The 23,868-nt window shown below is 37.9% G+C and overlaps 1 protein-coding gene and 1 long non-coding RNA gene across 20 annotated transcripts in view; one reads left to right on the plus strand and one right to left on the minus strand.

The window, feature by feature from the left end:
* Positions 1–23,868, minus strand: part of INPP4B (inositol polyphosphate-4-phosphatase type II B) — an 823,376-nt gene that overhangs the window by 524,217 nt on the left and 275,291 nt on the right. For 3 of the 17 annotated variants that reach the window (XM_047416358.1, XM_047416354.1, XM_024454273.2), the window contains exon 1: positions 20,847–20,903. The exons of 12 other annotated variants lie outside the window; for them this stretch is intronic. The gene's annotated coding sequence lies outside the window, so the exon portion shown is untranslated. Of the gene's footprint in view, positions 1–13,080; positions 13,380–20,846; positions 20,904–23,868 lie in introns of those variants that run through there. 2 more of the 17 variants (NM_001385338.1, NM_001385339.1) reach the window with 1 other exon arrangement.
* Positions 14,532–23,868, plus strand: part of LOC101927613 (uncharacterized) — a 100,791-nt gene continuing 91,454 nt past the window's right edge. For all 3 annotated transcript variants that reach the window (XR_007058285.1, XR_001741432.2, XR_007058284.1), the window contains exon 1: positions 14,532–18,814. This is a non-coding gene — a long non-coding RNA (uncharacterized LOC101927613). The remainder of the gene's footprint in view (positions 18,815–23,868) is intronic.

The following is a 23,868-nucleotide window of genomic DNA, read 5'->3' on the forward strand; positions in this document are numbered from 1 at the left end:
ATGAAGGATCCTTCAGCTTCTGACCCCTCAAGTCTTGAAATACTGCCTGAGCAATACCTAGACATAAATATTTATGAGTGGCTCCAAAACCCTGCACTAATTTTCTGCAACCCAATTAGCAAAATTTGGCAAGAGAAAAGTGTCCTTCACCTTGTGGATCACTAGCAAATCAGACAGTAAAAGAGCCAAATGGACCATGGGAGGTCAGAGAGTTTATGCCCCATTTTATGTCTCAGGAAAACTGAAGACCATGAAGGTTAAGTGACTTGGCTGAAGTGACAGCGTGTTGAATGAGGCTCAAACACTGGCTAGTAGAAAAATACTGCTTTTACATTTCCTGAAAGGAAAATGTCATCTCTAATAATTTACATTGAAAAAATGACTCCTCACTTTTTATTGTATTCTATTTTCTTATCTGTGGAAAACAAATTTAGGGACCAGTTTAGAACCTCATGTATTATACCTTGGTCTCTTCTTAAGACTAAAATATTATGGGAATTCATAAGAAATCATTGGCCCTGGAATATTCAGGCAAAAACAATGCAAGTTTATGAATTTATTGCCACCATGTTTTATTTGAGAGCTTGAACTCTTAAAGATTGAGAGAAAAGCTAAAACATTTTTCTTCAAGACAGCTACAAGCTAAGGCTTGTTATTAATAGAGGTTACACTTGAGGTGGGAAAATAGGCTGTGACTCTGGCCAACGTTAAGCTTGGAGAGAAGCCCAAATGAACAGCTTTGAAAGTAGACAATCTCTCCAACTTCTGTACAATAGAGGCAGACATCTCTTTGGAAAGCTTAAATGGTGGAAGAACCAAGTTGCCAAGTACTAGTCATGACAGAGCAATGTTTCCAGCATGAGAGAATGTTGAGAGAGTCACAGACTCAATGGCTAATGTGTAGAAACTGCAAGTAGTGACCTGAGAGTTTTAAGCCCTTCTGTTAGTAATGGAACAACAATGAAAGTATTCAAAGAATATAAACATCCAAACAGAGACACAAAAAAGGTCATGAAAGGAAAAGTCTACTTTCTGAAATACAAATGAAAAGATCAATATATAAATTCCTAGAAGAGGCTAGCTAATTCGAGTGCTCTTGTCGTATAGAGGGAAGAAATATGACATGAAGTTAACATATTAAAACTTAATTGCCTCCATAACAACTCACCTAAATTATTTAATTTGGAACATTTTTTTTCTGGTACTGGTAAACACCTCAGTATGAAACAGTCATTTTGCTCAATTGTTTTGTAGATACAATAGAGCTTCACTCTACAGAATCCTTGAAATGTGAGTCATTAAAGATGACATGTCTTCAGAATAACAGAGGGGTTACCTATTTAAGTACCAAATATAGTGCATACAGATGTGTCTGTGTGTGTGTGTGTGTGTGTGTGTGTATACATATATATATATTAATTTAACGTTTTGACAGAAAATCATTCTAAAATGTATTAAATTTTATAAGGCTTCCTTAAAAGCACATTAAACATAATGCAATTTTCTTTGATGGCCCAAAGTCACCATTGTGAATATTAATTATTATACTGTGCTATAATAAAATTATGTCTGTGAGGCCCTCAAAAATGGGTACGCTCTATTGCCTCTAGAATTACACAATGTCAGAATGAAATGGGACCTGAGAGCTTGTCCAGCATTCCCAATTACAGATGGGACACTAACATCAAGAGAAGAGTGATGTGATTTAATTAAGCGGACACAACAGTTATCTACCCCAGGTCTCCCAACTTCTTATCCAGAGTCCTTTCACTTAACCCGCACTGCACAGCATCATCACCTATGCTTTCATTTGTTCTTCTGCTGCCTTTTGAAGTTTTTTTCTCTTCTCCCTGGTTAGGGTCTATGTTCACCCCCATCACTGTTGTTGGTGATGAAATCTCATCCTCCCATACTGTGCACTGTAATGATAGGTGGGGTAGTTCTGGAATGTGGGAGGGCACGGGAGCCCATGACCATCAGACGGTAATGACTAGATGTCAGTTTCTGGAGCATGTCCAGAGAAGATTTAGGAGAGTGATCTAACCTGGCTCCCCAGTCAAGGAGTCTAACCAAATGCTGGAGTTGAAGGTACAGAGCCAAAGTGAGGGGTAGGTGCAGAAACCAAAACACCAGGTATGAGTTGCTGGAAGGAGCAAGCCATGGGAAGTGATCTGGGTGAATTCCAATGACTAAGATGTCTTTACCTTCTCCAGGGTGATCATATATTGAAAATAAGTACAACGAAAGGGGCAGAGACTGTGTGCCTTTTTTATGGCCCCTCAACTATCCTATTTTAATTCTGGCTTGGAAAAGAACTCATTCCTTGGATGGTTACACAGGGGTGTCATTGAGATCTGGTAAGTAACCTGATGGGCTTACATTCAGGTAATAGGCATGGGTTATGAGGCAGGGGCCTATGGCAGTTCAGAAATCTTTGCTTATTTCCTGGTAAATATCTCTTTCTGGCTTTGTTCCAGAGCTCTCTGAGGTTTCAGAACAATTAAATTCCAGGTAGGTGAGATGTTACTTTATGCTTTGGTTTCCATGTGAATAAATAGATAAGGCAATAGCCTCGTGTATTAGGAGGAGGGGGAAATGGCATTTTAAAAGCCAGGTGCATTTGAGCCTGTTCTAGCAGGTTGGTGAATTTTCACTGTCAGGAACAACTGTCCTTTTGTTTAAAATGATGAATGAGGCTCCCAGGGGGTAAATGACCTGTCTAGGGTGCCACAACAACAAGGATATTGCCTCTGATTAAAACAGTCAAGTATTAGAGCCTAGTGCTCCAAGTGGTGGTCATAGGTCAGGTTATTATCATCTCAGGGTGGAAAATGCTCACTATGTGGTGGGCACAGGAGATTCTATTGTGCTTTCTTCCTCATTCTTTCCTGTAGTGCCAGAAGGAAGCTTTGCTCTGCTGCATAGTCTGGAAGACAAATTGATATTCTCCATAGGAACAGACAGGATGATTCATGCTGTGTGGTACATAATTAAGGTCTGTGAACTCAAAATGAGCAAACCAGGATGTTAGTAATCTTGGTAGAGAAGTGGCTCAAGAGGGCAGGCATACCTTATTCTTTATTTTAATCTCTTTGAGGTAGGAGAGTTCAACTTCTCTGAGATAAGGGAACTTATCCAGAATAGAAATTCTTTTCAAGTTTTTTCTCTCCTATCTCTTGATCTCTCACTTTCATCATTATATATGTAATATATACACACACACACACACATATATATATATATATTTTTTTTTTTACTTTACTGGCAAGAAACTGGATTTTTCTCTCATCCCTTGTACCTTTGAAGTGTTCATTCAATTCAAACAATTACTGAGGCCCTGCAAAGTACTAGGGGACCAAGTACTTCAAAGCCACATATTAAAATGTGGTTCTTATTTCCACAAAAGCCCAGTCTAGTTAGGGAGAGAGATATGCAAATAAATTATCTGGGTAATTATCTGGCTGTGTCGCTATGGGTAAAACTTAAATTCCATAATTCCAGTCTCCTCAAGTATAAAATGACAAAAATACTACTTACCTTGCTGATGGTGTTGTGAGTATGAAAGAGTTAAAGTACATAAATCACAAGTAATTTGCTTGGCACATATGAAATAACTTGATACAAAATAGGAAGCGATAACACAAACTAGTAGATATTCTAACCAAGGAATCGTAAAGAGTCATGGAAACAAAGGAAAGAGGAGGCGACTCTGCCCAGAAGAAGCAACCATTTGTGGTTTTATGAAGTGGCCATTTGTTGTTTTATGGCTGCCCAGCAAGCACACATTCTTTCTCTGGCAACAGCATCCAATTTCCTTGGACGACGCCCTTGTCCCCATACTCAATCCATGTGTTTCTGAGGGAGTTGACTCCATTTTTGGTTACATGGCATGGCAAGAAGCCTTTTCAAAGCTTCAGCAGAGTCTGGGCTTACAAAGGGAGCCTAAATACTAAATTAAAGTGAACTAAAAGATGGAAAGAACTTGTGGGGCCATTTTCCTTTTGTGATTTCCTTTCTAGGACTGCACAGAAATAAAAGGGAGGAGAGAGGGAGGGTAAAGAGACAAGGCAGGAACCTGGGTCTCAAGGTGTAAAAATGTCCAAAAGCACATTTTAAAACAATGATTGCCTAAATGTTTTACTATTAAACTGTTTAAATTTCAGTGATGTAAACCCCTTCCATCTCCTCAAACTTATTATAATTTGTGATATACACAAAGGTCTCGTGTGAGTGTTTCTGTTTATTTGTTTTTCTGGAAAGTGAGATAAGTGTTGAGTTCTGTTCTGTGTTATCACGCAGTAGAACTGTAGCAGGATGCTAGACTGGCAAACTGATACATAAACTAAACCAACTCAGTGGAAGCAGAAGCTCAGAGTGACATATGGCCAACAGAATGTCAATTACATATAGAAAACTTTAAAAAATTGGATGGCAAGAAGGCATAAGACTTCCCTAGGGTATGGAATAGTAATTTGAGCCAATTCTATCTATTTTTGAGGTTAGAAATACTCTAGCTGACACTAAGGCTATATTTTAGTCCTGTTGTGGTTCATTTGAACTCTGATGCAATAGACAGTCGCACCTTGTTTAAATCCCTGCTGTAGTTCTGAACTAGACGCATATAAATGTCAAGTGGCGGGGGACCTATTTCAGAGAAGTAGCAATTGACTCAGCATCAACCAGAGTCCTGGGATTTCTACCACAAAGTCACAGGAAAGCTGTGGAAAGTACTCTGAAATCACTCTTACAGAATTTGAGTAAGGAGGCTCTTTGAAATTGAATGCTTTTGGCAGAAAACCAAGTGTAAGAAATACTAAATGAGCTCTCAAAAGCAATGCTTTTTAAATTTTGATGTGCGTGTGAATCAACTAGAATTCTTGCTGAAGGGAAGATTCTGATTAGTAGGTCTGGGTAGAACCTGAGATTATGCATTTCTAACTGGCTCCCCAATGATGCTGAGGCTGCTAATCTGGGATCCTCATAATATAGAACCTTGAAGTTTATTAAGTAAACTAACCTAATTATATAGAGAATTCCTTAAAACTTGAAGTCTTAAAAAAAAAAACAAAAAGAAGAAGAAGTTACTTACTGGGACCCTGCACTGCCTATCTGAGCACATGCTTAGAGAAATGAATTCCTACATCAGATTGGTGATTAGGTAGGTTTTTGAGTCTTTTGTAGGAGTCTCATATCACCAAAACCTAAGAATATTCTTGGAAAGTGCAATACCAAGGATCAGAGAGAATTTGGAGAAAGAGGCAACATTGATCTCTGAGAATATAAAGAATAAAGTTAACAATTGCTACCATTTAATATTTACCATCTGCCAGACACTGCTGTAAGTATTTTATTACATTATGTCTTAATATTACAGCAGCTCCACAGGTAGGAATAATTGTCATCCCAATTTTAGAGATGAGAAAACTAAAACTCAGAGAGGGCAAGTTATTTGCCCAAAGTCCTACAGCTTTGGACAGACATTTGAACACAGGCAGTCCTGCTCTATAGTCCAGTCATAATCATTATGCTCTCTATATCTCCTACCTTCATTGCACCACCAAAATAGCTTTTGTTTTGGAGATCAATAAATTTCCATTATGCAAGACACAATAGACATTTTTGGTCCTCTAAACAACACTGTATGCTGAAGACCTCTCCTTCCTTTTCTAAGTATTACCCTATTATCTTCCCTTGGTTTTTAAGGTTTGAATTTTTCTGGTTTCTGTTCTGTTTTTCTAAAACTCCTCTCAGCTTTTTTTTAGTACTATATTCCCTTACTTGGCCCTTCAATGCCCAGATTTCTCAGAGCAGAGTCAGAAGCTCTTGTTTCCTCACCCTGTAGTTTCTTCCAATAAACAATATTAACCACTGCTTTCATTTTCACCTCTACACAGAAGACTCCACATTCCCACTCTCTTTTGAAACCTAGACTTATGTATCCAACTTGATGTCTCTATTTATATGTCTGAAAAGTTAGGTCAAGTGCAATAAATCTAAAACTAAGTTCAAGATGCTGGCTCCATCTTCACCTTCCACAAAGCAGCTTGTAGAAAAGATTGCTTTCTATGCCCTTTCATATCCCCTTGGCTTTATGATTTTGTGATTACCCCACATGACAAGCCAAAGGGCTAGAGAATTGTTGCCTGCTAGTCAACTCATAGTTGACAGGAGAGGAGCTGTGGAATAAATACCCCAGTTCTCTTTTCCTTCAGATGGGATATGCTGAGACATAGTCCATGCTGGCTTCTAGGGTTCCCCAACAGGCATGAGCTACTGTACTCCACAGTGGTAAATACCTTGATAATGTAACTTGTATTGCTGTTCTTCCCTTCTCAGTCCTACTTCCTTACTCCCCATTGGTGTTTCCTGGTCCCAACCCCCAAATAAAACATTTGCCCTTAAACCTGTCTTGGGGTCTGCTTCTGGAAAAAGACCAGGTCAAGACATACCTTCCCCTTGATTTTCTTATGTGTTCATTTCTCAATGAATGGCTGCACCGTCAGTCTTATTCCACTAGCTAAACAGCCAGGTTGGCTGGGAGCGGTGGCTCACACCTGTAATCCCAGCACTTTGGGAGGCCGAAGTGGGCAGATCACGAGGTCAGGAGATTGAGACCAGCCTGGCCAACATGCTGAAACTCTGTCTCTACTAAAAATATAAAAATTAGCTGGGCATGGTGGCCAGCGCCTGTAATCCCAGCTACTCTGGAGGGTGAGGCAGGAGAATTGTTTGAATCCTGAAGGAGGAGGTTGCAGTGAGCCGATATTGCCCAGTGCACTCCAGCCTGGGCAACAAGAGTGAAACTCCATCTCAAAAAAAAAAAAAAAAAGAAAAAGAAAAAAGCCAGAGTCATCCACTTCCTTCCACTCCAGATCCACCATCACCCAGAATGACAAATGTTTTCTATTAAAAAGCTTCAAATTGCCCACCTTTCCATCTCCTCCACCAACTCCATAGTCCAGTACTATTATTTTCTCACTTGCAATAGTAAAAAAAAAAAAAAAAAAAGGAAAAAAAAGAAATTCCTCTAATTGGTCTCCCATACCTACTCTTGATCTCCTCAAATCAGTAGGAATATAAAGCAACTCTGCTCATGTCACACCCTCCAAGTGCCCCCTATTTAAACCTTTTAGTGGATTTCAGGCTAATGAAAGGCAAGCTTAACTACTGGACAAGGTACTGTGAGATTTGTTTTCGCTTCCCTTTCTGGCTTCACCTTACATCAAACTACCCCTCATACCCTGGGCTCTACCCACTCTGAACCTTAAACTAGTGTCTTTGTGTTTTCAACCTCACTAATGGATTTTAGTAAGGTGTGAAAGCAATTTAGTTTGTCAAAGTCAGAATTTCATTTTAATGTAATGGGAGAAAAAAGAGTGTTATTTGTTAGAACTTTTCTTTCAAATGTTTGTGTACTGCATTCATGATGAACAACATATTTGTAATCAAAGACCACATCCAAAAAGAGTTTGAAAAATGATGCATTAAACATACCATGTTTTTCCCACCAATGAGCTTCAGCGGATGCTATTCCCTCTGTGGGAAAAGCTGTGCCCCAAACTCTTTGCCTACAAATTCCTATATACTCTCTTAACATCAACTGCATCCATGCTGGGGTCCTAAGGGCCTGGGGGATGGCAAGCGATCAGGATTTAAAAGACTGGCCCCCAGGAAGCACCACATGTAGCTGAGGAGAATCCAACACATCCAATTGGAGAAAGTTAAAAGTAAAAGCCATGAAGAATCCAAATATCAGCCTGCAGGATGGCTGTGAACCATAGCAACCCAAAAGAGATGGGTTATGAGACAGAGTGGGAAATAGAACCTGCAGATGTGCTTCAAGCCATCAGAGTGTAGCCACTGGGACTTCTACAGGTCACTCGGGCACACTGTGAAGGGCAAATTGTAGACTGAAAAAGCTTTGGCAAAGATACCATATTTAGAAAGCTAGTTCAGCAGCCCTGGTCAGAGGTGTAAGCATATTTATTTGTAAGGAGAGCAGCTATAGCATTGGAGAAAAGAGGCAAACATGAAAGATGTTAAGGAGGGAGAATCTATAAGATTTGGCTACAATGCAGTCTATCTCATGTATTTATTAGACACTGAATAGTTGTAAATGGGTATTTTACAGTTGATTTATACAGACTCCAGAGCTAACTTTCATAGGGTGAGGACTTTGAAACTGGTTAAAAAAATTTAAAAAGCATTTCGGCCAGGCGTGGTGGCTCATGCCTGTAATCCCAGCACTTTGGGAGGCCGAGGCGGGTGGATCACGAGATTAGGAGATTGAGATCATCCTGGCTAACACGGTGAAACCCAGTCTCTACTAAAAATACAAAAAAAAATTAGCCGGGCGTGGTAGTGGGCGCCTGTAGTCCCAGCTACTCAGGAGGCTGAGGCAGGAGAATGGCGTGAACCCGGGAGGCAGAGCTTGCAGTGAGCCAAGATCATGCCACTGCACTCCAGCCTGGGCAACAGAGCAAGACTCTGTCTCAAAAAAAAAAAAAAAAATTAAAAAGCATTTCTATGTTTCTGTCTACTAGCAGAAAGTGCATGCTGTGTGTGTGTGTATATACAGATATAGATTTATATGTATCTTTTCAGCAAGCGAGGAGAGTTCTTAGCTGTGGGTAACTTATGAGGATACAGACACAAGATTGTAAAGATGGGATAAATTTCAACCTTTTAATTGACAGGTAAGAAACTGAGGCTCAGAACTTCATTGTGTTACAAACTAAGAGCCAAAGCTGCAATCAGAACCCAGATCTTTAGCCAGGTAGAGGAAGACTCTGTCCTATCTTCTATGGTTGGTCAAAGGTGTGGCTCCTGAGCATGAGTCACATGAGTCTCTTCTTTTTATACTAGCAAGACCAAGAAACTTCTTTGGTGCAAGTACACTGTGTTCCCACTGTCACCAACTGTGTGGGAACAACACCACATCACTCCTTGGTAACGAAGGTAAGTCATTACTGGGTCCCTGACTCCAGACAGGAGTTCTAATTATATGTAAGTGAAGAAAAACTGTTATTTTTAAAATGAGGACATGGGTTAGAATTATGGTAATTTAAATAGAAGAAAAGGAAGTTTGGGGAAAGAAAAAGATAGTTTAATACTTGGGTAGTTTTGGGAATAAAGGAGAAAGAGGCATAAAGAAAGAATCTGAGGCTTGGAGGCTGGGATGAAAGTGGGCACCAATGACCAAAATGGGGTCCCCTGGGAAGGAAAGTCAGCTCAGGTCAGAGAGAAAAAGACCATTAGTCCAGCCTTGGATGTTAACCTTGAGAAGAGGGGGAGGTATGCATGTGATGATTTCCTGCTGATGTGTTATTTAGGAAAAAAAATGTTTTAAATCACCTAAGACAGTTTTATTTCCAATTTGAGTCAGAAAGACAAGGTTAGCAGTTGCAGTAGCAGGGATAGGGGCCTAAAAGAAGCACGCAAATTGCAGGGGAAAGTATCGATTGCAGTTTTTATCATCTAAGCTGATACCTAGGAAACCTCGCTATCTCCTCATATATTCAGTCAGGAGAATAGAAGACAGAGGTCTGGAAGAGGCTTTATCTTCTCTTTATTAGATACATCAAAACCGATACAGCACAAAGCTGCTCCTCAAAGCTGCCCTGTCGTGACCACCGGAGGACCAGTAGCCAACCTCCAATATTATATCCCTAGCCAACTTTTCACACAGCTGCACCTAAGAGATGCTTTCAAATAGGCTGCCTGGAGAGGTTTGCTGGTGCAGGAGTGAGCGTCTTTTAAGCACTCACAACTGATGACAATGCTGGAGAAGGAAGGCCGGCAGTTCTCCAGGGTAGGGCAGCTGATGGGAAATTCGGGGAAACAGTTGTAGAGAGGAGAACATAAAGAATGGATAAAAATTGAACTAAATTTAGATTCGGATGTTAAGAGCAACATGAATAAGAGGAGAACAAGAAGAGTATGTAAAAGCTCCTTTAGTTCCCAGAAATGAAACTTCTATGAAAGTCAGACTCACTGTAAAGAATTACTTCAAAGACCTGGAGAGACGCACAGACCTTGAAGTTCACCTAGTCTACCATCTCCCACCTCCCACTCACACACAGACACACAGCCTCCACAAAGAAGAAACTGAGGCCAGAGAGGCCACCTGTCCAGCTGGCAGTCCATGGGCAAGAGTTAGTGGCAGAATCTGGGAATACACTCAGGATTGCAGACACATGCTCCCGATGTCCAGGCACAGTTCCACACTACAGTGCAAAACCTGTTTAAGATACAGCCTTGGTAAACATTAACCCCAACATGTCGGAAGTTGTTATAGATATCTAAAAAATAGAAAAAATATTAGAGGTAACAATAAGTAATACCAGTGATGAAATATAAGGTGCAACTAAAATAATTTATATTCCATATAAAAAGGAATTGAGCCCCCTAAAATAGGTCTATCAGAAAGGGTAGGGTTCCCCACTCTAATGAGCTGTCTGTTCTTGCAGAGTTTCTAGTTCTATCTATGGGCTCATTCACCTATTACCCCTTCTACGTTCTGGTTCTGCCCCTGAGGGCCATAAGGCTGCCACAAAACGAACTGTTCAACGACAAAGTCAATCCTGTTTCTAAACTCTGTTTTGACCTCACTCCTAGTTCTATATCTAAGGCTTTACTTCCTTTGCAGCTCTTGACCTGCATCTCTGGTGCCAACCATGGTAATCCTATTTGCCAATTTCCATCCTAAGACACGGGTCCCATTCTTTCATTTTAAATTCTGTACTGTACCTATCATCTCAAACTTCTGGAAGAGCCCACAAGTTCTCATCATGGTATCATTCCTCAGTCCAAGCTCTTTTCAAAACCTTGACCGCTAGATTTTGAGCTCAGTCTGTGTACTCAGGTCACTTATTGTCCATTTTGTCTGTTGTGGCTTGACAGATATCCAGTCTTATCTTGCTCTGTTCTCTGGATTCATAGCACTTATTTGTCCTGCACCCAATTCCTTACATTCCCATTGACTTCCAAATTTAATCATCCTGACTGCCCCAAATAAGACTTTGACAATTTGGTTTTGGCAGCAAAAAAAAAGGAAAAAAGAAAGACAAAAACCAAAAGTTAGGGAGGAAATAGATCTTCTTTTAGAAAAAGTTATTACTAATATATCTAAATATAAAGCCTAAAAGTGAAGAAATTCTATAATCCATAGGTATTATTCAGGCTATGGTGTGCCACTGTTAACAAATTCATCTGGAAATCTCAGTGGGTTAACACAAGATACATTTATTTCTCCTTCTTGGTATAATTCAGTGGGTGTTGGGGGGGCAGTGTGGGGAAAAATCTACTATGTGTAGAAACTGGAGGCCTGGGTTAAAGGAAGCCTCAATTCAGAGCTTGCAGTGAGCAGAGATCACGCCATTGCACTACAGCCTGGGCGACAGAGCAAGACTCCCTCTAAAAAAAAAAAAAAAAAAAAAAAAAAAAAAGAAGCTCAATTTTTTGAAGCTTCATCAGGAGTATGTGTCCTTGATCGCCTGTCAGGTGAAGACTGAACAATCACATGGGGTTTTTACTGCCTCAGCCTGGAACTGATATATATCCCCTTCTGTCTCAGCTCATTAACTAGAAGTAGACACAGAGTCCCACCCATCTGTTAGAACGCTGCGAAGCCCAACTTCTCCATGCAGCCAAAAGTGGAGAACTGTAGGTCAGGAATGCTAAAAATGTCTGGTGCACAATGATTTCAGTCGACACAACTCTGGAATTTTTGCAACTGTGTCAGTTAAAGGATTAATGCACTCTCAGTTGTTATAGTGCTTCTCAGTTTTAGTTGGTGGTAAACAAAGTGATTTGCAATAAATGTGATAAAAAGGAATGAATATGGACTAATAGGGTCATAAAATGGCAGTGCATTCATCAAAAGCTGAGAGAACCTAAGATGTCAGAGAGTGGTGGTGCTGTTGCAAGTTTTTTTCACTGTTATGCTTTTGTTTATCTTTGTGGCTTGAGAATTATTCAAATTTAATTCTTAATATGTACCTTGTATTTAATGAATCAAGATTCATTAAAAAATGAAACTTGAGATTCATTTGAGACTCACTTGAAATTCATTTAAAAAATGAGAGGCAAAATGGGGCACTTACCTCTCATTTTTACATGTAATAGCATATAACATTCAAAAGCATCAAATAGCAAGGATGTCTTGCTATTTTTATTATTTCAACATGACAGCAAGTTTGCAAACAGCAAAATCATATGCATAAGTTTTTATCAATATTGTGATTTAATTTTAGAGTGTCACCCACACTTCTACACATATTTATCTTGTAATCATAGCCCTTTAAAAACAAACCTATGATAACTATATATATTATTTATGTCACTAGTTTAACTAGACATGTCATTAAAATACTTTAAACTCTCAATGTATAAATTGAACATTCTGCCAAGAGTATACTAAAAATAATAAGAAGAGAAAGCCATTGAATTTCCCTTTATTCTTGCTTGATCTTCTTCCTATTATTATGTTGAAAAAAAGTTTCAGTTACTTATTTACATTTCACTCATGAAATAGTTTTTATACACTTTAAAAATCTACGATAAGAATAGAGCTAATGCCATTCTGTCCCTCTCACTTGCCTAGAGGCATCTAAGTGGTATATGAGGACTGGTATCTCTAAAAGCCTCATCACATCTCAGGACATCACATCAGATAAGCAGCAGGAAATAAACATAAACAAATAGTTCCTCTCCAATTTCACAGAAGGGGGTTTATCAAGACATGTTTTCTCTATTGAGATTGCTATGGAAGTGAGGCGCTATAGTGAGATCTAATCCTCAATGCTAACAGCCTGCGCTTTCCTTCCCCGCCTCAGCCATGTGCCTCTCCTAAGCATGCTGAGCCGGAAAAGGGTCAGCCTAGACATGGCCCTCTTTTCTAAAGCTGTGACACTGCATGGGCACAAGACAATCAGGCTCCTCTGTGGAATTTAAGATACTTCTTAATTCTGAAAGCTCACAAATACTACTACTACTGTATTAGTCAGAGTTCTCTAGAGGGACAGAACTAATAGGATAGATGTACATATGAAGGGGAGTTTATTAGGAGAATTGACTCACACGATCACAAGGTGAAGTTCCACAATAGGCTGTCTGCAAACTGAGGAGCAAGGAAGCCAGTCCAAGTTCCAAAACCTCAAAAGTAGGGAGGCCAACAGTGTAGCCTTCAATCTGTGGTCGAAGGCTGGGGGGCCCTGGCAAACCACTGGTGTAAGTCCAAGAGCCCAAAAGCTGAAAAACATGGATTCTGATGTTCGAGGGCAGGAAACATCCAGCACAGGAGAAAGATGAAGCTCAGAAGACTCAGCAAGTCTGCTCTTTCCAACATCTTCTGCCTGCTTTATCCTAGCTGCACTGACAGCTGATTAGACGGTGCCTACCCAGATTGAACGTGTGTCTGCCCCTCCCAGTCCACCGACTCAAATGTATCTCTTTTGGCAACACTCCCACAGACACACCCAGGAACAATACTTTGCATCCTTCAATGCAGTCAAGTTGACACTCAATATTAACCATCACAACTACTAATTTTTAAAAAACCAGTCTCACATAGGTTGATAAAATCTTGACTGTCATTTTGGTGAAAATTAAAAGACCTTTTTATTATCATTTGTTTTTTCCACAGGGAATTACTGCCAAATCCATATCATGAATTCCCCAAAAAAGTATTTAATAAGACAGCACTTAAATATAACAGAAAATATATGTTAGAGCTAAACTCACTAATAGTATAATTTACACTTCTGCAAAAGATCATAATTTAATTTTTTTATTCAATGTGGTAGAAGACCAAATTAATAATTATAAAATTCTCTACTCACTGATTTTTCTGGATGTAGCCTCTGTTATGGAAGAATAAAATATAATACTGTTTTAAAAGATACTTGAGATTAAAAAAATACTTTTGAGGAAGAAATTAATTCACAAAATTATTTCACTTGTCTAGATATGCATTTTATAAATGGAAACATTGAAGGAGAAAGGTTACATGACTTGTTAAAGTTTCTTTGTTTTTTTGTTTGTTTGTTTGTTTGTTTTTTGAGACGGAGTCTTGCTCTGTTGCCCAGGTTGGAGTGTAGTGGCGCGATCTCAGCTCACTGCAACCTCTGCCTCCCAGGTTCAATCGATTCTTCTGCCTCAGCCTCTGGAGTAGCTGGGACTACAAATGTGAGCCACCACACCTGGCTAATATTTTTGTATTTTTAGTAGAGACGGGGTTTCACCATATTGGCCAGGCTGGTCTCGAACTCCTGAACTCATGATCCTCCCGCCTCGGCCTCCCAAAGTGCTGGGATTACAGGCGTGAGCCACCACGCCTGGCTGACTTGTTAAAGTTTCTAAAGTTGATTTGTGAATGGAGAAAGAAATAGAATGTCTTTCTTGCAATGTCAATTCAATATCGAATTCAATATTTTTTTTGGTGCTCATCTTCTTTTAAGATCTGTAAGACTGAAATGTTTATGTGCGCACTGTAAAAAAGGTTCTGTCTAAAGCCTGAAAAATAATTTTTTTTTGCAAAGAGTTTCTATGTTCATTTCAAACCTTTGGCAGTATTATATCTAGAATTTTTTTTTGTTCTCTTTTTCTTTTTCTTTTTTCCTTTTTTCTTTTGATTAAGATCCTCACTTCTCACAGGGGGAAAAAGAGGAAAAGCGAAATTTTATAAAAGGGCAGTTCTGACCTAGGAAGAGGAAAGAAGGTTTTAACATAGAGGAAAGCTGAGGTATATCTTTAAAGTAGAGTAGGAGGTTCTCACTACATCATTTTGCTTTAAGTGGATGTAAAGGAAAAGTTACCAAGTGTTTTCTTGCTTGAACAAAGATAGGTATTTTCTCATGAAGCTTTGAAAGGTTTTCTAGTTGAAAAGTAATGTGAAAAACAATAACTTCTGCCACTGAATGATTGTTATAAGCCTCAGTACCTTCAATAAAAAGATGCTTCTGTTCAATTTCCAGTCACATCAAATTCTCATTACGAGAAGCTAAATCCCATCTCTCCATGAGCCAGACTGTATCAAAAGTAGCAGATTTATGCATTAAGTTTTGTAACATATGCTTACATCCCATATAGCCCAGGTCACAAAGCAAATTCTAGGACTTTTTCCCCTCAATGAATACCAGGATTGGATGCCAAGCTTCAAGGAGACCAAGAGCAGGAAAGTACTTGTGGACAAGGTGTCCTTGAAAAATAAGAAAGACATCCTATTGCTTTTTGAAAACAAAATTGTCCAGTTCCCAACAGGTTGCACAAAACCCATTTTGTGTTAAAGAAAACAAAAGATTTATAAGAGTATTATTTAGAATCTATAAGAAAAAAAAATAGAGAGATAATAAAATAAAGAGAAATAAAGAGAAAATAAAGTCCCTAGGGTAGAAAACCAAAAGGTCTTCTTAATAATTTCCACGCCATTCTCTCTTCTCATGTTACTTGCAAAATGTTAGATATTGCTATTTTTTTTTCTAAGGTGGATAAGAAAATCAGACTAAATGCCATTGTAGTTGAATTTCCCAGAATGACTGTGGAAATTGGGATACAAAGGTACAGACGTCAATAATAAATGCTAGGGTTCAACACACAAACTTAAGTCAAAACACCTCTCACCCTACCAGTAAAGAGGCCAAGGGACATGCCCCTAAGATGGCTGTGCCTTTAAAGACAGCTGTGTTTAGCAGTGAAGAGTACCTCTGCTAGGCAGAAAGATGAACACTGCTTTTACAAAGAAAATAGGTCAACTGATATGACAGAATGAAAGCAGGATTTTGTCAATTTTTTTAAGGCAGAAAAACTGACAATGAAAGGAAAAAATCAAGGTTACAAAAATGATGTGTTTTCTTATTGGCAACATGTCCACTGTCGTACTTAGAGTCCACAGTTTGCTGTGTTTGAGAGTGTTGGCTTCATTTTAAGATGTAACTAAATCCAAGTATTTAATGGAATGGTACATCCTTACCTGTGTTTCCCAAAACAGATGCAAAGGGTTCTCCAGAATAGGCAAATTGAAAAGGAATAAGGTGACAGGGCTGGAAAAGCAGCAGCAACATTTTGTAACAGAATGGTTTGAAGATTAAAATGAAATGAGGCCTATCTATAAGGCAATAGCAGTGATAGAAATAGAAAATTAGAATCCAGTTTATAGTTACACTGTAAATTACAATCATCAATTCATATATATTAGAGCCATGGAGTTGATTGCAAAAATGGCCATAATACATTTGAGTATCTCCAATCAAGAACTTGAGTCTATTTGCCCATTCTTGAATTTGGGGTGGTGTTGGGACTTGCTTTGGCTAAAGAAAGTGGCAGAAATGATATTGTCTAGCTCTGAGCATAAGCGTGAAAATAACTTGCAGTTTCTTTCTCACTTCTCCCTCTCTCTCTTTCTGAGAACCCGCCACCTCCATTTGCACAAGCCCAAGTCCAGTCTAGCCTTCCAGTGGATGAGTCATGGCACAGCTATGGCTATGGCTCTACCCAACAGTCAGCTAATCCCCCGAAGCAGAGCCTTTTCACTGACCAGCAGCTGCCCACCTACACATGGGTTAGTCCAATTGTATCAACAGAAGAACTACCCAGCTGATCCAAACCAAATTTCCAACCCACGGATTTATGAGCCAAACAAGCAGTTGTTATTTCAAGACCCTAAGTTTAGTAATGATTTCTCACACAACAAAAGATAGTAGATAGAATCCATATAGAAACTTCCCGCAAGTCAGTTAGTTATTAACCCATTTTGCTAAAACTTTACTGAATAGGAACTATGTGCAAGCACGCTAACAAAGCTTATTCATAGTCCTTTGGGGAAACAGAACTCCCTGGTGTGTAATGTGAGGCTTGCAGTTTACCTGGGGAAGCCAGGAAGGCTTGGAGCAGAGAACACCTCAGTGAGGGCTTAAAATAGATTGATGAGTGGATCAAGTGAAGTAAGGTGGGACAGTTATGTCAGGCAGAGGAAATGATAAAGGTATAAAGAAGTAAAATAGCAAGGCATAAGCAGAGAGGTACAGGAATTTATAGTAGAAAAATGTAGTGTCTTAAGGAATGGCAAAAAAAAAAAAAAAGAAAGAAAGAAAGAAAGAAAGAAAAAAAAGAAACTCAGCAGTTAATAAGAACCAGACCATGGAAGACTGGAGGCTCCCATAAATATCTTGGATTGAAGTATATTGATAAAGGCTTAGGCCAGTAGTCCTCAAACAGTAGGGTACATGAAAATGATCTGAATAGAACTTTTGAGGACTCTCTTACCCATAAATTAAGATTCAGCAAGTTTTTGATGGAGCCCAGACTTTGGGCTTTAAATTTTTAAATTTTACATTTTTAATATGGAATGTTGGAGTATCTGATGCAGGTTGTTCATGGACCACACTTTGAAAAATATTACTGTAGGGAATGGGAGGAGTCCAGTAGTGGTTTAAAAAAATGGAGTAACTCAGGCACTCTCATATTATTTTCAGGTCAGTATTTAAGACTGATTTTTCTTAAATCAGTCTCTGGTATGGACAAAATATATAAGGTTATAATATAATATGGAATATTACTTAGTCTATAGAACATATTCAAATTTCTCCAATTGTTCCACCAATGCTCTTTTTTGGATCAGGATCCAATCCAAACACACACTTCGCATTTAGTTGTCATGTTTCCTTAGCGTTCTTTAATATGAAACAGTTCCTCAGTCTTTCTTTGTGTTTTATGACCTTGACGATTTTCATGAGTACTGGCCAGGTATTCTGGATGCCCTTGCACCAATGAGCCCAGCTGATTCCCAGACTTTGGTTTCTAAATACCACTCTCCAATATAAGAAAACTATGGCTCCTTGGAGAAACAGCTGAATCCAGGGCTGAAGGAGAAAAAATAAGATGAGCCTGAAATATTTTGTGCTAGAAAATACCAAAGAGTTAAAAAGAAAGAAAGAAAGAATAGGCACATTTCAAAAAGACAAAGTAGCCAACTTGATTGGTGATCCTAAAGGTCAAATACAGAAACACTGAATAACAAAATAAATCTTGATCATAAGGGATTATAACCTGTGGAATAACGTAAGGGTTCATGTGTCTGTACTAACACAAATAAGTGAGTGAACAAATGAATGAATGAATAAGTAAAGGAGAAAAGAAAACTTTTCCTTACTATAAAACTACAACTTGTTTCTAAGTTAAGGAATTATTGAACCAGAAAATTACCATTTGGCAAACACCACAGTAATAGTTGTTTCAGGCAAGAATCATTAACGGATACTAAAATTAGTGGCAAAGGTGTGATAAATTACAGGATATTTAAATTCTCTCAAATTATTTTCCCATGAGATACTTATAGAGTACAAAGAAATATAGTGCCTTTGTAGTGAAGAAATCTGGCAAACACCACCCTCCCCAAGTGATCAAAGTTAACATTTTCAGTAATGGAATAAATTGACATCAAGAGTCTTCGGATAAGACATGTTGATAAGGTCACAACCTCACTTTCTGGTATCCTTGCCAAAAATGCAAAACTGAATTTAAATATGAGAAAACATCAGAGGAAGTGCATTGACTGTCAGAGCCTCATCGACCTAGTATAAGAGACACACCAACGTACGTACACTCATATGTGTTAGAGGCACTTTCAGTTTGGCATTCATTCAGTTCACAAAGAGATCCATTTAAAGACTTTACAACGTACGTACACTCATATGTGTTAGAGGCACTTTCAGTTTGGCCTTCATTCAGTTCACAAAGAGATCCATTTAAAGACTTTACAGAAGAAAAATGACAGGATGAAAACTGTGCCTCGAGGAGATTAAACTGGAAGCAGAAGGTAGGATACAAAATGAAGGGGGTGGAAATGAAAGCTATGGAAGGCATTGATGCCTGTAAGTGATCTATTACATTATTTCAGGCACATAGTCATAATAATCTCAACCAGAGTAATGGCCATAGAAATGGAGAAAAGGAAAGTTAACACAGAAATAATATGAAGAATAATGGCAATGATTTTTGCATTGAATGTGAAGGAGATGTAAAAGGAGGGGAAAAAAGAGTCTTATTTACTAAACAGGGCACCTGGGTGTCTATGCAGAAGGTGAGTCAATGGAAGCAGAAGGAATGTGATCCTGTACTTTCAAAGAAGGGAGTTCTGTTTCAGGCAGATATTTGAAGGTATTATTGAGATATCCTAAAGAGAATGTCTAGTAGGCAGCAGAAAAGGTGAGATTGCTATCTGGGAAAGAGGGATAACACATAGGAATGATTGCCTTTGATGTGACACTTGGTTTACAGAGAATATGTAACTTGTCCAGTGTTACAAAGCCAGTAAAAGGCACAATCAGTATTTAAACCCCACTTCTAGGTTCAGAAGTTTCTTTGGCCCATATAATGTTCTGTGTGTATTGGGACTCTCCAGGAGGTTGAAAAGAACTGTAAACCTCTATTACTATCAGTTTCTAAGTGCACAATTAGACTTATGTGCAAAGTTATAACCAGCTCATTTTTTAAAAAAGCAAAAGAATAAGTGAAGCTCTCTTTTCATCTGTGAGTTCCATTGGGCTTTATATAGAAGTAAGGACTACGTTCAGAGCCTTGTAAGGTTTTTGATAGTCACGTGATTGACTGTCAGAGCCTGGTCCATCTCAGAGACCATCCCCTCAAACGCTATCCTTTTACACATCAGGTATCTGATCCTGCACATTCAAATATTTATATGTAGGTTAGATGGGAAAGACATTGGTATAATTAATTTAATTTTCACTAGGTCTCAGCCTATTTTAAGAGCAGTCAGGAGCTAGAGTTTTCGGTCTTCATTTCCTATATAAATTGGCAAAAGTGTTGCATTCTGAATAACTATACTGTAGAAGTACATCGTCCTTTGAATAAATTCGAATCCATACACAGCAACACAACTGAGGTCAGGTCAGAGGGTGGGCAGAAGACCCATCACTTCACACACTGGGTCCGAGAGCACAGCTGCCCTGACAGGAAAGGAGGGGCAGGGCAGATGTCGCTGATCACTAACTACAACTAGTCACTCTTCCAGTAGTTCCCTCCCAGTGGGTGGTGAAAGTTGTTCTTTAGCTCATTATCTCCCCCTTCAGCCTTCCGATAAAGGAAGATGATGAAGTTAAAAGAAGCAGGGAGGCTCAGCCCCTCTGTAGAAAAGGTAGAATGAACAAGAGAAGTATCCTTCATTTTAGGTAATACATGAAAATGTTGAATAAATATATGCTGAAATAAGTAAGTTTATCTCAATAAATATTTTTTCTTATTTCTGATACCTGTAATAACAGTGAAATAGATATATACATATGGGAAAAGGTACACTTTAAAAAGCATATCTCCTACATAAACACAGCACTTTGTAAATCACCACAGCCAAAGTAATCACATTCTTAAATAAGAATGTGAGTTCATTACATACTGTAAGGAAGGTTTTTCATTATTGCTCTTTATTTACTTACGCTCCTGTAAATGAATAAGAAAAAAAGAAAACCATTTCCAATTCAAGTAGTCTCAAGGCATACTCTAGCTGCTTGCAATTAAAACACAAATTTACCTAAGACATTGCTTGGCTCAAACAATCATATTTTTCAAATAGTTCATGAGATTTGTTAATAAGAGCTGAATGCTTTGGAACAGAGCAAGGCTTCAATTAAAGGATTACAGTTCCAGAGCTAAACTGGGAGAGACTGTGAGCTCAAGGCTGAACCTTTCCCCTCTGCATTCTTTCCCTCTGATTCTAGTTTGGCTTTGATTATTCTTTCCCCTTTTCCTTTCTTTTTTTATTCTTTTTTTTTTTTCCACTTGCTGCTGGACAGAATTATAAATTACAGGGAGAAAGAGCAGTCTGATCTTACCAAGGAAGTTCTTTTTCTCAAGTCGTTTCTTTCGTTTTCAAGGTGTTTCCCAACTCTGGCCTTACTTTGTAAGACCTGAAACTTCATCACTTCTGGTAACTTACCAAGGTCCAAAGTCTGCCACAGAACTACCTGAAGGCTTGAATCACCCAGATATCGGCTTGCTGGCATGGAACTCTTCTTGTTTTTCTTCATATACAAATAGGATTTAGAAATGTTTAAGCAATAATTAAATGAAGAAATAAGGAAAAGATTTAGATATTGGACTTCATTGTTATCATCACCATTTCCTTATTCACTTTATTTTATATCATGTACATATCTAAGTATCCAAAGAAGTTAATGAAACATGAGTACTTAATGTATTTTTCCAAAAATATCCAAATTAGAACTGTGACAAGTCTCAAAATAAGGTCTCTTTGCCATCACTGATATATTGAGAGCAGAAAAAAATACATTAATAATCCTGTTAGATAATCATGGATATAATTAACAGCTACAAAGATGATATTACTTGATAGGATATATTTCAATATACAATTTAGCGCCACTCAGGATTGAAGCAGAATTGCTTCTCTGTTGGAAAAAGTATCAAATAGATATTTTTAACTTCTCAGTAGGTGATAATTTAGTAGCTCAGAGAAATATTTTATAGGCATATGGAACAAATTAGTATGGTAATTGCAAATGGATTATTAATACTGACAAGTCATAAGACTTAACCTTTTCAAATGTAACTGCTGAGACTAGAATTTAAACTAAACATTGTGATGTTTACCTAAAATGTTTTAGATAAATCAGAGATAAGATTAACAAATTACTTAAATATACTATGTAAATTTTTAGCCTGTATGAATAATAATGGGAAATAATATTTGCTACATTGCACACAATTGTACACACATACACAGTCTGTCTCTCTGCCTTACAAAAAAGTAGAAACAAAAGTTTTGGGGATAATATCAGCATCTAAGAAATATAATATAAAAATATCACATTATTGGAAACCAGTACACAAAAATGAAAAGCAAATGAATATGCAAAATATCTACCACTGCAAATAAACATGGATTTTTTTTTTTTTTGCTAAAAACAACATATTCCTCTCTATGTTGAAATATGTTTCTACCCCACAAAGGAGTGGTTTGCTTGCTTTTGCTTATTAACAGCCAACCATGTAGTGCTAAGCATGTGCCAAGTCTGTTCTAAGTGTTTCATAAATGTTAAATCACTGAATTTGCATAACAAACAAACCTATGAGGTGAACTCTGTTATCATGACTACTTTACAGAAGGGAGAAACTGGGCAAAAGAGATAGGACTGAAACTCAGGCAGTCTCTAACGGGATCTCTACCCTTGACACCGTGTATGCTGGTGATTAGCTCCTTTCTCTGCAATGTAGTTGTAAAAATTTCTCTAAGGTATAGATAACTCAAAATTGAGGATTATATTCTAAGAAGATTCATTGCAATGTAAAAGTTATCACTAACATCCAAATTCGCATTCTGATAGCTCATTGAATTTGTGCTTTCTTCCCTGAAAAGCTTTCATATAAAACAAAGGTCCGCATGAAAAATGAAGGATGCTTTCCTCTTACCACTGACAAAGAATACAGTGATTAGATACATTAAAAATTCATATATTTAACAAATGCCACCTCTCATACATAAATTTTCTGTGTGTACAAAATACATAGGTAATAAAATAAAATCAACATTATTTTTCTTCCATTCCTCCTCCAATATAATTTATTGACTTAGTTGAGTAGCTAGGTGCAAGAATCAACAAGAACCCCTCTTCCAAAAATGCAGGAAGTAGAGAATAAACACAACTAAAGAGAAAAATTAGTTTGTGCCTCCCTATTGAGAATAACAATATATACTTAAGAAGTCACATCATTTTTCTGTGTCTATGAACCAACAGAAATAAACTAACATTGCTTCTTTATGTATTTCATTTCACACTCAATAATAAAGTGAGTTTCAATGACATTAATAATATGTTCTCTTGGTAAACAACCATATCCCAAGAGCCTCATATTCTTCCTCTTTTTTTAAATCCCTGAACATTCATTTGAAAATTAACTTACAGCTCTTATTACACTTGTTCCTATAGCCACTGAAAATTTTCAGCACAATAAAAAAATTAAGTAATATTTTACTGTATTTTTTTTTCCATTGGGAAGTAATAGGGGTAACATTTCTTAAAGTGTTTTAATTGGGTAGGGAAGGAGTAAAATACAAATGGAAAGTTTGGTTGAAAAATAATTTTTAGTTAATTTGAGTGGGGAGATAATACCCTACAATTGACTATAAGCTACATGAAGGCACGATCTGACTTGATTCTGAACTTGATAAGAAATCTAACACCCAGAAGATGCTCTATAATTAAGCCATTTAAAGTATATTTAAAGAAGAATAAAAAAATTTGTTAGCAATTTTTAAACAATCTAACTCATTTTAACTGTTTTTTTCAAATAACAAAATGCTTTTACAGACCTCAGATGAACTCGGAATCATAGATTTCACCACCCATTGCATACCTGTAGCACACCCAACCCTAATGTTAATGAATTTTACTTCCCTTCTCCTTTCATGTCAAGCCTAATTTCTTTTTTGCTACATCTCATCAACCCCACTTTCACCCCTAAGACATATTAATATTTTACCCTATAAAAACCCAAAGTCTACCATCAGACCTTCTTTCTTATTCTAAGGTTGCATCTTATAATTGCCTTGCTGTTTTTCTCCCTGGCTCCCATTAAAAAGTATCCTTTCATGACCCTACCCCTACCTCATGAAATTACCCTTTCATGAGACTATCCCAAAGAATTCCAGGAGTCCTCACTCAGTCTTTTCATGTTTCTCAAAAAAAAAAAAAAAAAAAAGAGCATGGAGTGGGGCAGAAGGTGAAGAGGAAAAGAGGAAGAGGGCCTTGGCACCCCCAGAAAAGCTTCCAATCCACCCAGCTCCTGCCTTTATTTTTCTCTTCTCTTCCTCCCACTCATTTTTAATCTGGATCC

The sequence above is a fragment of the Homo sapiens genome, chromosome 4 (assembly GCF_000001405.40).
Source record: "Homo sapiens chromosome 4, GRCh38.p14 Primary Assembly".
NCBI classification, from domain to species: domain Eukaryota; kingdom Metazoa; phylum Chordata; class Mammalia; order Primates; family Hominidae; genus Homo; species Homo sapiens.